Source organism: Homo sapiens, chromosome 16 (assembly GCF_000001405.40).
Source record: "Homo sapiens chromosome 16, GRCh38.p14 Primary Assembly".
In the NCBI taxonomy this organism is placed as follows: Eukaryota; Metazoa; Chordata; class Mammalia; order Primates; family Hominidae; genus Homo; species Homo sapiens.
The window spans coordinates 85496035-85513662 of NC_000016.10; the positions used below are offsets into that span (position 1 = coordinate 85496035).

The 17628-nt window shown below is 55.9% G+C and overlaps 1 protein-coding gene across 8 annotated transcripts in view, besides 1 other annotated feature; it reads left to right on the plus strand.

Moving 5' to 3' along the window:
- GSE1 (Gse1 coiled-coil protein) overlaps positions 1-17628 on the plus strand; it is a 506689-nt gene that overhangs the window by 326523 nt on the left and 162538 nt on the right. The gene's annotated exons all lie outside the window — the stretch shown is intronic.
- Positions 2635-2914: an enhancer, noted in NCBI's record as "active region_11271". NCBI's record gives its function as "activates an Ori minimal core promoter by ATAC-STARR-seq in GM12878 lymphoblastoid cells {active_cell/tissue: GM12878}" and the evidence as "EXISTENCE:reporter gene assay evidence [ECO:0000049][PMID:35858748]".

A 17628-nucleotide genomic window follows, 5' to 3' on the forward strand; every position in this document is an offset into this window, starting at 1 on the left:
GATTGTTCTGCAAGCCAGAGCTGGATCCCGGGTGCAGAATCCATCCGAGCACTCTGTATGGGGGCACAGCTCGGAGCAGGGTCTCCGGCTTCATTTCCCCAGGGCCCGAGCCTGCGGTGACAGTGACTTGACCTCGCTCCCCAGAGGTGAGAGGTGCCCACTTTGCAGCCAATGGCAATTCCCAGAACCATCCATCTCCCGCCACCCCGTGCCTCCAAGGCCGTCGTCAGGGATGAGCGATGGGCCGCCCCTCGCGGGCCCGACCGGGATGGTTACAACAGGTTTATGCTGCGTGAGCGATGGCGTTTGCATGGCTGACGCCGAGCACCGCTGGGACCCAACAGTGTTGAAAACGAGATTCACAGAGAGCAGAGCGATAAGCACTGAGTGGAAGCTTCCAGAGAGGGAACCATTACTGTGCCCGGGAGACCAGCAAAGGGTGCTGGCGAGGCGGGCAGCCCGGGTGGCCTCGGTGCGGCGTGTCTGCGGAGTGGCAGCCAGGCCAGCTGTGGGCAGGGGGGCCGACCCACCCACCGCTGGCAGCTTTTGCAGGCTGAGGGCAGAAGTGGAATTGGGGAGAAACTGACTTGTTTGCAGGGAGCTGGGACCATGCTGTCACGACATATAGAGAGCGCTCAGGAAGATTCAAAACAGGATTCGAGGCCGGGTTCCTTGGAGGGTGTGAGTGATGGTCGGGGGTGCACGAGAGGGAGGGGCAGGAGCAGAGAGATGCTGTTGCCAGGGACCCAGGACAGGCAGGGCTGTAAAGTGCCCCTCACCTGCTCCTGTCACTGGCCCGTTTGGGGCTCAGGGCAGCCCCTGTGGCAGGAGGGTTTCCACGTGCCCCCTTTTGGTCTGGGTCTTTGTTGTTTTTTTTTTCTTGAAATGGAGTCTCACTCTGTCATCCAGGCTGGAGTGCAGTGGCTCTATCTCGGCTCATTGCAACCTCTGCCTCCCAGGTTCAAGCGATTCTCCTGCCTCAGCCTCCCGAGTAGCTGGGATCACAGGCACGTGCCACCACGCCCCGCTAAGTTTTGTATTTTTAGTAGAAACAGGGTTTCGCCATGTTGGCCAGGCTGGTCTTGAACTCCTGACCTCAGGTGATCCACCCGCCTCAGCCTCCCAAAGTGCTGGGATTACAGGCGTGAGCCACCATGCCTGGCCCTGATCTGGGCCTTTCTGGTCCCACTGAAGCTGCTGGGTCTCCTGAAGGCGGAGTGGGTGGGCGCACCTCTGGTGTTAGACCTCCTTCTCTGCCTCCTGCGTTTTACATTGGGACTCTCGTGGCAGCAGGGATTCCCAGATCCTAGCACATGTGGGACCTGGAGTGAGAGGCTTCAGCCCTGTGCCTCAGTTTCCTCATCTATAGAATGGGGCTGTAGAGCCCTCCAGGGGCCCACGGGATGGTTGGGATAGACAAGGTCGTGTGCGTGAATTCTTCAGCCCAGTGCCCAGCACAGGGTCACGGTTCCCTGAGAGGCACCCCGCTCTTATTTTTAGTTATTCTTTCTAATGGGAACCTATTTTTCTCCTAACTGCCATCTCACAGCAAACTGCTGAAAGGGACCAGGCCTCCTATGTCTGTGCAGCAGTATGGTGTGGCGTGAACTTACACCTTTGTCACATCTACAAAGACCCCATCTCTACATAATGTCCTATGCATGGTCCTGGGATGGGGACATGGACACAACTTCTTGGGGGACACAACCAGCACTTTCTTCAAGGTCTGGGACTGGGGAACCCGGGGTGGGGCAGACTGCTTTTCTGCACCCCCGGCCCACAGCCAGCACCATCTCAGCACCTGACGTGGCAACTCTGTTAGTCCCCACAGCCTCCCTGGGAGGGTGGCGCTCTTGTTATCCCCTTTTTACAGATGGGAAACCAAAGCCTGGGGAGCTGACATCGCTTTTACCAGAAGTCTGTCAGCTGGGAGGTGGGGGAGCGGGCGACGAGGGACCCCACGCCCTGACCACCGTGCCTGTGTGCTCCGCAGGAGCACCACACCTCAGTGGGGTGGGGGTGGGGTGGGTGCCTGGATCTGGCCCCAGAGGGGTGTGTGGGCAGGGCCGTGCTGGCTGATGAAGGAGAGTGGAGCTGGCGGGAGGAGGGAAGCACAGTGCACACTCCCCCGTTTGTTCTGCAGGCTGCGATTCCTCTCCTGGGATCCTCCCAGCCTGTGCCCATCCTTCCACGGCACTGAACTGCTGGGGTGTCCTCAGTGAGTCCCCTTCCCCACCAACACACATGCATAGATGGCTACACAGATATACACATGCATATACATCCAGACACACAGACACACACGGACACACAGATACCCACACATACAGATGAACATATACACACATAGACATGTACACACATGCACATACATCCAGACACACAGACACACACGGACACACAGATACCCATGCATACGGATGTGCATATACATGCATAGATGTGTACACACATGCATACAGACACACAAACATACACAGAGATACATGCATGTACACAGACATCCATGCATATAGACTCACGCATACACCCCATGCATACCTTACATATATATAAACACATGTGTATATATGTACATACCACACACATCCACACATGCGCACCTACAACCTAGACACCCCCCACACTCACACGTGTATGCACACGACAGCACACAGTGGTGGCTGTGACCGCAGGGGAGAGGTCTGGGGTTCCCCAGGGCCTGGGAGCTTTCACCTTCTTCGGCTTGGGCAGTGGTGCAGCTGGCCAGGGGTGGCACAGGCAGGCCTCACTTGGGCTCCAGTTGAAGGAACAGCTGTCTGGCCCAGCCACCCTTCCCCCTGCAGAGTGGCAGGGCCATTGTGGTTAGAGCAACTTGCACCTGGCCTGGGCTGACAGGCCGTGAGCGGCATTGCACAGACCGGGGAGAGAAGATGCCAGCTCCAGCAATTGGAAGCTTGATGCCAGAGTGGGGAGAAGGGCAGGGCTAGGGCCACCATGGGACCTGCATTTGGTGGAAGGCAGGGCTTTTTCCAGGAGGAGTTGAGGCCAGATGGGAAGTGCAGAGGAGTGAGACTGCAGGTTCTGAGCAGGGGAGGAAGCCCCTTGGTATCCCCTGAGTATGAGTAGGACTCTAGGACTTGGGACACTCCTGGGAGTGGCTTCTGAGGCCAAGGCCTGGGCACAGTGAAGCTCATAGGATCTGCGGCATGAAGGACAACCCAGATGGGCATCAGCGAGAGGGCGCCTGCCAGCTGTCAGAGAGAAGGCAGGAAAGTCACCTTTTTTTTTTTTTTTTTTTTTTTTTTTTTTTTTGAGACAGAGTCTCACTCAGTCGCCTAGGCCGGAGTGCAGTGGCGTGATCTCGGCTCACTGCAAGCTCCGCCTCCCAGGTTCACACCATTCTCCTGCCTCAGCCTCCCAAGTAGCTGTGACTACAGGCACCCGCCACCACGCCCGGCTAATTTTTTGTATTTTTAGTAGAGACGGGATTTCACCGTGTTAGGATGGTCTCGATCTCCTGGCCTTGTGATCCGCCCGCCTCAGCCTCCCAAAGTACTGGGATTACAGGCGTGAGCCACCACACCCAGCAGAAAGTCGTCTTTAAGAATGCACCTCAGCGTGAATGTACTTAATATCCCAGAACTGTGCACTTAGAAATGGCAAAGATGGCAAATTTTATGTGCATTTTACTGCAATTAAAAATAATTTTTAAAAATTTACATAAAAGGTAAAATTTCAACCCACCCTCCAGTACCATTTTATACCTGCTAGGTCAGCCCCCAAACATAAAAAGATAACATATGTTGCTGGCACAGTTGTGGTGAAATGGACAGACTGTTACAGCCCAAGCATCACGTACATGGGAAAAACCTTTTTGGAAAAGCAAAAAGGCAAAAGTGGAAGCAAGACCCATGGAGACGTTTCTTCATTTGGATTCCAGAAATCCCATGCTGGGGAATTTATTGTAAGAAAGCAAGTCATAGCAAACAGACACACAAGTGGGAGAATGCAGATGTTTGTTTCTGCAGTAAAATCATGAGACCACCCTAAACACCCCACCACGGAGCAGTGGTGTTAGTACTGTGGAATATTAGGGCCCCCTCCATATCATCATCCCCAATATTGCAAGAGCTAGAAAATAACCGGCTGCCAGGTGCAGAGCGAGGCCCGCTCAGTCTGGAAAAGGTTTGTTCTTTTTTCTCCTCCTGTCATTCTGGGGAAGGGAAAAACAAATGGGAACGTGTTTTGTAGTTCACGTGGATTTCCTGCAAACCTCCAGAGAAGTGATAAACAGATCTTTGCATCCTGGTGCTGGCTAATTTGTTTTCAATAGGTTTCAATCAATTACGTGTGGTCTTGGGGAAGGGGAAGTGCACCAGTAATTGGCTAAAATAAATCACTCGGCACTTCAAAAGCAGCTCCCCACTGACATGTGCACAGCCCAGCCTTCGATTCCTAATAAACAGGCGCATTTGTCCCCCAGCCCCTGGGTCCCCGATCTCCATGGGAACTGCGCACCAAGGGTCTGGGAGGAGAGGCACGTCGTGGCAGTGATGGATTTGGGCACGCTGCAGAGGGCACCCGAGTGGGGTGTGCCAGGGCATCGGCCAGCCGCTCTGCTCTGCCCCTCTTCTCCATGTCACCCTTCCTCCTCCATTTCACCCCCTCCCCCCATCAGTGTCCCATGGCTGCAGACACAAAGTACCAAAACCGGGGGATGGAGAGGGGGCTTGAAACAACAGAAATGTATTCTCTTATGTCATAAAGGCCCGAAGTCCCAGATCGAGGTGTCTGCAGAGCCATGCTCCCTCTAAAGGCCCCAAGGGAGGATCCTTCTTCGCCCCTTCCAGCTTCCTCACAGTCTCTGCCTCTGTCAGCACGTGGCTGTCTTCCGTGTGTGTGTCTGAGTCCCTTTTCCTCTTCTGCTAGAGACTCCAGTCTTGGGATTAAAGGCCCACCCTACTCCAGTATGGCCTGTTCTGTTTTTTTTTTTTTTTTTTTTTTTTTGAGACGGAGTCTCACTCTGTTGCCCAGGCTGGAGTGGCACGATCTCGGCTCACTGCAAGCTCCGCCTCCCGGGTGCACACCATTCTCCTGCCTCAGCCTCCCGAGCAGTTGGGACTACAGGCGCCCCCCACCACGCCCAGCTAATTTTTTGTACTTTTTTAGTAGAGACGGGCTTTCACCGTGTTAGCCAGGATAGTCTCAATCTCCTGACCTCGTGATCCACCTGCCTCGGCCTCCCAAAGTGCTGGGATTACAGGCGTGAGCCACCGCACCCAGCCAAGTATGGCCTCTTCTTAACTAATATCTGCAAAGATCCTGTTTCCAAATAAGGTCACATACACGGTTCTGGGATTAGGACTTCACCTTTTTTTTTTTTTTTTTTTTTAGGGGATGGAGTCTTACTGTGTTGCCCAGGCTGGAGTGTAGTGATGCAAATCATAGCTCACTGCAGCTTCAACTCCTGGGTTCAAGCGATCTCCCGCCTCAGCCTCCTAAATAGCTGAGACTACAGGCGTGTGCCACCATGCCCAGCTAATTTTTTAAAAATTTTTTGCAGAGACTAGGTTTCGCTATGTTGCCCAGGCTGGTCTCGAACCCCTGGCCTCGGCAACCCTCCCACCTCGGCCTCCCAAAGCGCTAGGATTACAGGCGTGAGCCACTGTGCCTTGCCAAAACTTCAGCATATCTTTTGGAGGTACCAGTTCAGCCCACAACACCCCCTTTTGGGTGAGAACCGCTCGGGTCAGGCTGCTGCCCACAGAGGCTGCCCCTTGGCTGTGTGGCTTTAGAATGGGAACCCAGCCCCGACAGGGCCCTGCCTCCACCCCTCATTCTACAACAGTTGCAGACTGGATCTCCTTCACACGAGTAATTTTATTTCTGAATTTCCCTCAGGCCCTGGCAGAGCTGTCATCTAAGAATATTTTGTTGGGGGGCAGGGTTGGAGGGGCTGCTCTCCTCACAGGAGGCTCAGCCGGGGAGCCAGATGTCCACCAAGAGCTCTCTCTTGCAGGAAGATCCCGGGAGGAGGGGAGTGGGTGTCAGGGGCACTCGATGGGGGTCCGTGGGAAGGGACTGTGCTGGCTGCAGGCGCTGAGCCTGAGGGAAGGCAGCTGGAGGTTGGGTGAGATGGGATGGAACTGCCCAGCTGAGCTTGGGACAGCCAGGGGGACCATATGGGCTGCGTCCCGAGAGAGCCTTGGTGACACCTCGTGCGTGAGGTTGTAGGACCTAGGTGCGCACAGTGGAGTTCGATCCTGGCAGCTTCCCCAGGAGATCAGCCTGTGCTGTGGGTAGCGCCGTGGGTAGCGCAGGTTCATGGCCCTGTGTGTGCCGCCCTGAGCACCGTCAGCTCATCTGCTCAGAAGGACAGCTCCCAGGAGGGAGGAAGCAGGACTCCTCCCATTTTACCAATGGGGAAACTGAGGCTCAGCAGGGAGCAGTCTGGTTCCAAAGTTCCCGCTATTACCGGTGAGTGAGATTCTGAGGGCAACCGGGCTTCTGGAACTCAGCCAGCGCTGGGCCAGGCCTGAGCCAAGGCCTCCACCTGGTGGTCCGAGTTCTTGGTCTGTGTCTGCCATGGTGGCTGCGAGGCCTCTGCTCTTGAGATCATGAGCTGAAAGAAGCTGGAGAAGGAACCCTACAGGGTCAGAGGCAAGGCTACCGCCGACCTGCAGGGGAGCCTGGGGTCAAGTTCAAGGAGTGAGCTGGGCAGGGCCATCTTGGTGTCCGTGGAGCCGGGAAGGACTGCGTTTACTCTGGCTTGTCCAGGGATCCTCTGAAACTTGAACAAGATCAACCTGGACTGGAGAGCAGCAGTGGCCCTGGGGACCAGGAGCAAGCAGGGGGGTGAAAAAGAGCTGCCTGTTCCAGGAGGCCAGGGCTGGGTGCCCACGGAAGACAGAATGCGTGGCGGGAGGAGGATTATCGGAGGAGACAGACAAGGTCCAGGGCTGGAGGGCGATGAGGGTAAGAAGGCTGGGAAAGGCCCCATGAGGAGACCACACTGAGCTTGTATTTGAGGAAAGACAGTGGCAGGAAACCCTGTTGACATTGAGGGGTGCCCCGGGCAGAGGGCACGGCCAGTGCCAAGGCCCTGAGGTCTGAGCTCACCCAGACCATTGGTAGAACAGCAGGAGGCCAGAGTGGGTGGGAGCCACTGACGGGATTAAGTGAGACGCTGAAGCCAGGATTTCCATTCCCCGTGACTTTCTCCAGCATCCAGGGGTCACCACACGGGTGTCTCACGGAGGGTCAGCTGCCAAAATGACCTGGTGGAGAGGCAGCCCCCAGGAGGGAAGGGTGTGGGCAGGTGCAGTCCTTCCTGCCCTAACTCCCCAGCCTCCACCTGCCCTCAGCTGCCGCTCCTCCTCCTCCTCCTCACAAATCATGACCACCTAGTGAAGGACCTCGGCCTTGAGAGAACTCTGGGGCCTCTTGCTCTGAGCCAGGTCAGAGCCTCCACAAAATTACAGCTGTGAGACACGGCGAGGGGAGCGGGGCCTCTGGCCCTGCTGGTAATTACGGCCCACGGAGCTCTGATTGCCGCAGTCCAATTAATTAAACACCGCAGCGACCCAAATTATGATCTCTTGCCTTGTACCAAGCAGTATTTTTAACCTTAACTGTCGGGGCTGAACTTAAATTTCCTATCTGGACAGAAGTGTCACCCGAGGGAGAAAAAGGCAGTGTCGAAGCAAACCTCGCCGATGACAGACCCTGTAATTAGAAACTGTAGTGTCCCCGAGACTGGTCTTTAAAACTGTCAGAAGCCAAGCGGCCGTCATTTGATACAAGACTATCATCACCCGTGAACCCATTAGCTGCAGGTAAATAACATATTATGCCAGGGACGGAAAGCAGCCAGGCTGGGGAATTCGCCGGCGCTTAATTAGGACCGGCAGTGCGGAAGATAGATGGTCATCCTTTTTGCTCCCTTCATTAGGAGGGAGGGTCAGGTGTGGCGGTGGTCACCGGAGCCCGGGCTGCCGACCCTGCAGAAAAGCGCCATCCTCCGCCCGCCCTCTGCCTCCCACGGTGCTGCCCGCACCTCTCTTCCAGGCCTGTGTTTACTGCTGATCCCTACCAGCTGGTAGTGTTCTGCAGGAGTCCATGTGTGAAGAGAGGTTGCGTGGAACAGGTACCCCGCTCAGCAGAGGGAATCTTGGTGAAGTGGGCTGAGGAGGGTGGGTGTGGACCGTCCCTGAGGGCCACCCCCAAAGCCCACGATGTAAGATGGGCACTTGAAGGTTTGCAAAGCCTATTGTGAGCAGGTGGGTTTGGACTCGTGCTGCGGGCCACACACTTTCCCCTTAGAGGCAGAATTGTGGAGCCCTGATCTGGAAAGATCTTTTGAGACCCAGAGGTCTGGCTTTCCAAAGCTGGGTGTGAGGACAGCTGCAGCCCGCAGAGCGGTGACAGGGGCACACACGTGTGTGTCTTCTGACTCACCAGCCACCTGATGGCTATTTTAAGGTGTTTCCAGGTAGCATACGGTTAGTGTGAAGCCGACGAGTCTTTGGGGTCTGGGCTCAGGGACAATTGGGTTAAATAGTGAGTGATTGCCACATAGTTAGAATTGGGAAATAAAGAGATGAAAGAAAACAATTTTTAAACACAAATAAGAAATTTAAGGAAAAAAATGGCAAGTGAGCCAATTTAGATAAATATTAAGTAAATTTATTTGTCGGGATGTCTGGGGCTGCAGGTTACAGAAAACGTTGACTCAAATTGGCTTAACCCATCTGGGAATTTTTAATATCCCAGAACAAGGGGGTACAGAGCTAGGGTGGATGGGGGGTGCTCCAGGCCGGTGGCTCTGGCCTTGGCTCTGCCCCTCTATGTGAGCATTGTCCTTGGCCTTGCTTGTTGGTGCATGAATAATTTATAGGAAGATGAAGGTCTGAAAGGAAGTTATGACGATGAAGTCGCTGCATCGAGAGTTCCTTCTGTTCCCAACCATTCTCCTCGTCAGCATCACATGTGCACACACATGTGCACGCACACACAGCCCCACGTGACCCAGCACTCCCATCCCTCACTTAGGCCAAATTTGCCTTCTCCTTTTCCGGTTTGGATCCTGGTTTGTTCAATGTTGGGCCTGGCCCTGTCGTGTGCCTAGGGATGGACTCTCTGGCGCCCAGGGGAGGATGGTGCTGTGGGTGGGAGGTGCCCCAAGAGCAGGGTGATAGGGTGATGAGCTGCATCTGCTGATGTTCATGTCACCTGAGGCCTTTCCCTCACTTTTCAGGGCCTGCCATGCGATCAGGGACACCCGAGACCACTTCCAGCCCCAACCTCCCATGCACGTGGGAGTCCCACCCGGGAGGCCTTCCACACATGCCCACATCAGTCACAGCGAGTGCTCCTGGGACTGTGATGGTGCCTGTCACTCTGCCTGGGGGCTGGGGAGGGTCACAGAAGATGGTCCTTACCTATCTTACAAAGAATTCAAAATAGAGCCCAGGCCCTGAGAGCATGATTTGAAGGTGCCGCTGTGGTGTCAGACCCACCATTCCAGTGCCAGCTGTGCCACCTGTGTGGGCATCAGTGTCCATCGCTGTGAAATAGGACATTACAGGGTGAAGTTGGGAGTGCCGGCGGGGGGCACATGCTCAGGGTCTGGCGTGTATAGACACCCCTAATACATGATTGTGATCATGATCACAGAATCTTCTGGAAACTCTGCCTCCCTGGAATTAAGAACAAAAGGTAGGCCGGGTGCGGTAACTCACACCTGCAACCCCAGCACTTTGGGAGGCTGAGGCCAGGAGTTCAAGACCAGCTTGGGCAACATAGGGAGACCCCCATCTCTATAAAAAATAAAAATAAACTAGCTGAGCATCGTGGTGCAAGCCACTTGGGAGGATGAGCCCAGGAGGTCAAGGCTGTAGTGACCTGTGACTGCACCACTGCATTCCAGCCTGGGGGAGACCCTGTCTCCAAAAAAAAAAAAAAGACCTGGTGCCACCCTAAACATCTCCAGTTTGTGTGCAGGTTTGGAGTGCCTCCTGAATGGCGCGTTCCAAGAGGGACTCCACAGTGAGTCGAACCAGGCACCCACCCCCGGGGAGGTGACCTGCAGACACCAGCTATTGTGTGCAGTTGTGCAGCAGAGCTTCCTATGGTAGCTCTGGCCAGCGGAACTTCCTGCATCCATGGAGCAATGTCCTGTGTGTGGTGCGTCCCTGACGGTCACCGCCAGCCACATGTGGCTCTCCAGCATTTGGAATGTGGTCCGTGAGGCCCAGGAACTGAATTTTTCCTTTGATTTTATTTCAATAATTTAAATGTAAATAGCCACATGTGGCTACCGTATGGATGGCTTGGCTGTATGTGGGGGTGGGGAGGAGCAGGCACGTGGGGAAGGCTCAGCTGATGGATGGCGTCCAAGCGTAGCCCTGAGGGATCTGGTGGGTCCACCAGGGAGGGAGGGAAGGGTTCTTCCAGGAAAAGGGGGCAAGACAAGCGAAGAAGGAGCCAGAAGAGCAGGGCCCGCTGACGATCAGGGGAGCTTCTGGAGTGGCTAGTGCAGAAGGCGTGTTTTGAGGATGGAAGAGGAGGTTGGCCCAGGTAGGGGAAAACGCACTCTCATGGGTCGGGTGTTTTCTTATATGTAGAGGGGGTGTGATTTCAATGCATTTCAACCTGGGGAGGTGGGGGCAGCGCCGTAATCATAACAACTGCTAACGTCGATTAGCCCTGTGCCAGCCACTGTCATTCATTCATTCATTCATTCATTCATCAGCCGATCCGTGAGCTCCTGCTACTTGCTGGGGGAAGTGATCATAGCAGACGAAGCCTTTGTTCCCCCAAACCTTATAGCTTAGTGAGGGGACAGTGCCAGCAACCCAGCAATCGCTCAGCCACCCTCCCCTGTTGAGCCAGGGAGGCCCCGACAGCCCCCTCCTTCCAAGGCATGGTCCATAGTTGCATGCACGCCACCCCGCAAGCTTGGAGTCCGTAGCCTTGGTGGCCTGTGGTATGCCGACCAGTGGCTCTGCCTCCCTCCTGGGGTAACCGTGTGGGGTTGCGGTTTCTCCCGAGCATGTCGTGGTGACATATTTGGTTGGCGTGGCTGTGTGGCTGAGAAGATCCATCAGCGGGCGTCGTCGACGCTCGCCGGCCCTGAACCACGTTTTAATTTGCCAGTCTGTGGGTTTCCTATCCATGTATTCATCTAGATTTGTGTCAAGCGAGATTGCTTTTGTCTTCTCTGTCTGCTCATAAATCCCTCTGCAGAGCTCCGTCCTCGGCATTCTGCTTACGTGGTATCCGGTTTGGAAACTGAGCGGGGGGCTGTGGTAGGCGACCCCACAAGGCCAAACCCCACTCGTCTCTCTCTTCCTCTGGCCTCACCCAGGCTCCTGGGCCGGGGTGGGGAGGGCAGCCCAGAAGGCTGGGATTCCCATTTGGGACCGCAGGGTTACTCGCCCTTGCCCAGTGGGTGCTGCATTCTTCTGTTGGGGCTGCCATGGCAAAATGCCACACTCTGGCTTGAACAATAGAAATCCATTTCCTTGCAGTTCTGGAGGCCAGGAGCCTGAAGTCAAGGTGTGAGCAGGGTTGCTTTCCTCTGGGGCCCCTCGCCTTGGTGTGTGAACGCCGTGTTCCCTCTGGGTGCAGGTCTGTGTCCACACCTCTTCTTCTTATGGGGACACCAGTCCTATTGGATTAGGGCCACCCGGGTGACCTCATTTGACCTTAATCACCTCTCCAAAGGCTCTGTCTCCAAATACAGTCACATTCTGAGGCCCGGGGGCTGGGATGTCAGCGTGTCAATTTTCGCAGGACACAAATCAGCCTATAATAGGTGTCATTTTCCCTCTTTTTCAATTTGAAATGGATGCGTCATATTCATCAGAAGAGTTGCGAGCACACGCCTCGTGTGTTTCTATGGGCTGAGCTCACCATGTAATGGGCCCCTGCATGACAAAGAGTGTGCCCAGTCCCCCAGAAGCCCCCTGTGGCCCCCTGCCGAGGTGGCCAGTGCCCCGACTTCTAACTCCGTCACTTATTTTTTTGTCTTTTGAGATGGAGTCTTGCTGTGTCGCTCAGGCTGGGGTGGAGTGACTCGATCTCGGCTCACTGCAATGTCCGTCCTCGGGTTCAAGTGATTCTCATGTCTCAGCCTCCCGAGTAGCTGGGATTACAGGCATGCGTCACCACGCCCAGCTAATTTTTGTGTTTTTAGTAGAGATGGGGTTTCACCATGTTGGCCAGGCTGGTCTGCAACTCCTGACCTCAGGTGATCCACCCGCTTCGGCCTCCCAAAGTGCTGGGATTACAGGCAGGAGCCACCACGCCCGGCCTCCCTCACTTATTTTTCGGAACAGGTGATGTTCCAGAGTGACATACGCAGGTAGCTTCTACCTAGCCCCTGCTCTGTTTCCACACCACCAGGGGCGAGAGGTGAGTTGGGACAGGATGGAGGAGAAGCCAGCAGCTCCAGGAGGAGCACACGCCATGGAGGGTAGGGAGCCAGGAGGGGCTGCCTGCATGGGTGAGAGGTGGTTGAGCTTCAGCCTGGGCCTCCAGCCGTCCACCCCCTCAGCTGTGGCCTGGATGGGTGTCAGGGCAGGGCCCGCGGCCTCTAAAACATCCTCGGGGAGGTGCCTCGTGGACACGTGGCAATAGTTACCCAGATACAGCCTCGGAGGGGAGGCTGCTGCTTGTGCTCAGTATGCTGGTGGAGACTGGTGTGCTGGTCTGTTTTTCTGTAGAGACTGAAATTAGCAGGAAGCTAATCACGCTTTGTCTTTTACCTGAACTGGGGTCCTTGAACTTCACATCCAGGAGAAAGGTTCGTAACTGTGTGCCCAGCCTGGTGTCAGGTCCTGGGGGATGTACAAACGTGTGTGTCAGGGTCTTTCCCCCTCAGCGTATGTGCACTGGGCAGGCACACATGGTTCGTTGGACAACAGCGCTGCTGGTCACTGGCGACTGGCTGGCTGGGTCACAGTGGATATGTCTGGTAGGGCTGGGCAAAGGTGGGAACAGCAGGGAGAGGGACTTGAACCAGGACCTGAGGAAGAGGAGGGATCCAGGTGGCCTCTGTAGAGAAGAAACGCTCACCTGGTGAGGGGCGAGACACGGACAAAGGCTGGAAGGCCGGGCAGAGCGGGGTTATCGTGTGACGGAGAAAGTGGCCTGCCCACCTGATGGGCGTGTGGGTATGTGTGGGTGCACGTGGACGCAAGGGGGCAGGAAGGGTTGGATCCATGCCAGGGACAGCTTTGGGCGGCGGTAACAAGAGTCCTGGTCGTGGGAAGGCAGTGTTGGTGGGGGACCGGGGCTGCGGTCTTCAGAGGCTGCCTGAGTCTCACTAAGTTTCTCCTCAGAACAATGGGGGAGTGGCTGGCTCCCATCTGGTGTCCTGTTCATCTCAGGAGCCCCCAGCTCCAGGTACAGATACGAGGAGGCCAAGGCCAAGGCCCTCCCAGCCAGCTCCAGAGTACGAAGGGGTCATCGTCCTTGGTCACCCACCTGGAGGGTCCGAGCTCCGTTTGGCCAGCGACCCCTGGCCCTCGCTGTCATCAGCTTGCCTGGTGCTTTGCGGGTGCCTGATGACTGTGGAGTGACGTTGAATGGAAAGGCCAGGAGGCTCCATCTGAGGATGTATGCTGGCCCTGAAGGCCAGCGTGGGGAACAAGAGCCGAATGGCCATGCCGGGTGGGAGACGTGTGTGCTGTTCACGGCACACCTCGGCTGCCTGCCTTCTCCCTGACTGTGTGCCATGAGCCACATTCGTGAGGGTAAATGTGTGTGTGTGAGTCCCTTCCTCGCCTCTGTCAGAGACTGCAGGAACCTTGGAGGTGTTTGGAAGGGATAGGAGACCCCCCCAGCCCCCACGTCCTGATCCCTTCGTCCCCTGCAGACGGTTCCTCTGACAGAAGCTGACAAGAGCCATTTCCAAGATGGATTGATTCAATTTAGCACAAATTTTTGCCGGATTTGGTGACGTATGGCTCCCTGTTGGAACCGCATTGAATGTGACTCCAAAGAGAGAGGCTTTATTAGGCCAAGCCGCGCTGAGCAGGTGGGGCCCCGGGGGCCAAGCACCCCCATGCCGCCACCATCAGATGTACCCGCCCTGGAGCCCTCAGGGCTCCCTGCCTGCCCCTCGGCTCTCCCATCATTAGGGGGCCGCTCAGCTGCTCAGAAAGAAAGTGCTTTGTGAGCCGGCTTTTCATTATACTCTGGGGGCTGAATTTCCATTTTATTCCCAGAAGCAAAGTTTTGCTGCCACGAGGACCCCACTGTGTGAGGCCCAGCACGAAAGACTCCTTCCCTCTGGGCTGATAAATTCTTAATGGGGCTGTACTCCAGCATCCCCTGGGCTCACCCACCGCTTCCCCGCAGCCCAGGACCAGGGCCCGAGCGTGCGTGTGTGTGTGTCTGTGTGTGTGTGTGTCAGTGTGTGTGTGTCGGTGTGGCCTGCGTGCACCCGCCTTGGCGGGGGCACACCTGGCAGCCTTGCTTTGTGCCTGCAGCTGTGTGTGTGAGAACAGGCCCTGGGCTTGGTACCTCAGCAGGGGCCGGGGCTGTTTCTGAGGCTCTCTGCTGGAAAACACTGGAAGGGAGGGGGAACCCAGCCTTTTTAGGGAGGCTGCCCCCCAAGTGTGGGTGCACGTAGCTTTGGCCTTGTTGTAGGAACCCTCCCACGGCTCCCATGCATGAAGAGTGAAAGTCAGAGTTGCCCCTGGAACCCCAGAGCCCCCCGCGACCCCTGCAGGCCTCCTGCTCAACCTGCTCCCTGCACCATGTGCCCTACTCCTGCCTCACAGGCCTCATGGCTCCAGCCTCAGGGCCTCTGCACCTGCCGTTCCCTTTCCCTGAAGCGCTGTTCCCAGGTCTGCACAAGCTCATGCTCCCGGCTCCTCCTTTATCCAAAAGCAGCCAACCTTGACCACTCTGTCAAAAACTGGGTCAAAAAGCACCCCGTTCCTCTCTGGCTTTATTTTTCCACTTGCATGCGTTGCTCTTTAATAGCACGTACCCGTAAAGCTCCATGAAGACAAGGGCTGCGCTCTTGTTTCTTCACTCCTATGTCCTCAGTGCCCAGAACAGTGCCTGGCACTCAGTGAACATTAGACGGATGGAAGAGGTGCTGACCAAGTGCCTGGCTTTCTGTGGCCATCTGAGCTGGACTCAGAGAAGCAAGAACCTGGAAGGCTTTTCCCTTTCTATGTGTGGTAGGCTGAAAAATGCCTCCCCCCTCCAGGCTGGGTTCAGTGGCTCACGCCTGTAATCCCAGCACTTTGGGAGGCCAAGGCGGGTGGATCACCTGAGATCAGGAGTTCGAGACCAGCCCGACCAACATGGAGAAACCCTGTCTCTACTAAAAATACAAAAAATCAGCCGGGCATGGTAGTGCATGGCTGTAATCCCAGCTACTCGGGAGGCTGAGGCAGGAGAATCGCTTGAACCCAGGAGGCGGAGGTTGCAGTGAGTCGAGATTGTGCCATTGCACTCCAGCCTGGGCAACAAGAGCAAAACTCCATCTCAAAAAAAAAAAAAAAAAGATGGCCTGGCAAATGATGCCCAGGTCCTGATGCCCTGAACCTGTGTATGTGAACTTATTTGGAAAAGGGGTTTTGCAGAGGGGATTATGTTAAGGATTTGGAGATGGGATTGTCCTGGGGTATCCAGGTGGCCTAAATGCAATCTCAAGTGTCTTCAGAAGAGACAGGCAGAGGGAGATTTGAGACACGCAGGGGCTGGAGTGATGCAGCCACAAGCCAAGGAACACCTGGAACTCCAGGAGCTGGAAGAGGCAGGAAGGAGCCTCCCTAGAGCCTCCAGAGGGAGCAGGGCCCTGCCTCTGCCTTGATTTCAGCCCAGTGCTACTGATGTCCAACTTTTGGCCTCCAGATCTGTGAGAGAAGCTATTCTGTTGTTTTAAGCCACTGCAGGGCAGAGACCCCTGCAGGCTGCTTGGAGGGCTCGATCCCCAGCCTCTCCCACTGCTCTGTAGTCAGGGTCTCCACGCAGGAGTGGAGGGAGGTGCATCGCAGTGTTGTGAGGGTCCGGGGGCTGGATGCAATGTGTGGGTGGGAGCAGAGGAGAGAGAATTTGCACAAGGTGTAAGGAGCACTGTTCTGCGAGTCCACAGCCTGGCTGGGCCCACCATGGGCATTATTAAACCCTGGCTGTGAGGCAGGGGTGTGGCCCTGGGGTCATCCTCTCAGCAGAGCCCCCTCAACGCCAAGCCTGGACCCAGGCAGTATTCACCGCAGCTGTGACCCAGAGGGAACACAGCAGGTGGCTGTGAAGCAGTTAGAGTAGGTAGCAGGACCAGCCAGGCACCCAGGACAGCTGTCGGGCCCCAGGACAGCGTCTTGCAGCGAGGCCTGGGTTCTCCAGAAGGGACTCCACACTCGCCGTGCTTCTGCGAGCCAGGACAGCCTGTGCTACTCCCCAAATCCTGGCTGTGCCATCCGTCTGCCTGATGGGAACCCCACGCTTCAAAGTGCTCACGGGCTAATCCTGCCCCTTCCCCAAGATTTTTTCGGGGACTGCTTTTGATATGTGTGGTGTTTTCTTCCCTCTCTTCTGAGGCAAATGGCTGATTGATTGCTTTTCATCTCCTACTTTGAGTAGCTGTAAGAGCTACTTTATATAAACATCAATTACAGGCACGTAATAAATTAAGGGTCCCTCACACCACACGCATTAGAGTCCACTCCGATATCAAAGCGCTCCCATCACCCAGGGAACGGGAGCGGTGGGGGCTGATTAGCCAGTGATGTTGGTGGAGACAGAAGCTAATTTAATCGCAGGTCCGAGAGGGTCGGGTATAGGGGGACCCCAATCTTGCCTGTGTATTTCCGGCCTGCTGACTCACAGGGACAGCTGGGCAGCGGTGCATCACCAGACAAGGCCTTGAGAGAGTTGGAAGGGCTAGCTACAACCATGGTGTTCTGCCCACCACACTTTATCTGACCCTAAACCCCAGCTGCCATGGGGAGCTCTGGAATCCCTGAAAACAGTCCTGTACGCTTGCCGCTGTCTGCTTTCTCGGGACCCACAGCCTGAGTTTTGAGCCCTGTGGGCGTCTCCATCACTCTGCTCTGTGGTCCATCAGCCCATCTGGGGAGCTCCTCACCTGGCCCAGCAGGGACCCCCCAGCCACACCTGACTCCTGCTGCCTCTGTGTCCTGCCTCTCCCTCTCCCGGCTCAGAGATGGCAGCTGGGAGCATGAACCCAGACTCCAGCCCGCCTGGGTTTTCCCTCCCGGCTCAGAGATGGCAGCTGGGAGCATGAACCCGGACTCTAGCCTATCTGGTTCCTCCTCTCCCAGCTCAGCCACTTTGCAGCTGGGTGACCTAAGGCCACTGCCCTACCGTCTCTGTGCCCCCATTTGCTCCTGAGTATTGTGGGAAGAACAGCTTCCCACAGTGGTTGAAACAGTGCCTAGAAGCACTAGCCGTCCCCACTGTGGGGGGCTCCTGCAGGCTACCCCCCTCACCGCTCACGCACCCAACGTCCTCTCTTCTCTTCCCCCTCTGCTGCTCCTCAACCTCAAAACACATTCCCAGGCTTCACTGGGCCAGCCCCTTCTTTGTCTGTCCAGCTTCTAGAAGGACTTGGGGGAATCTGCTGCCTCCAGGCCTCACCCTCCTCCTCCAGGAAGCAGA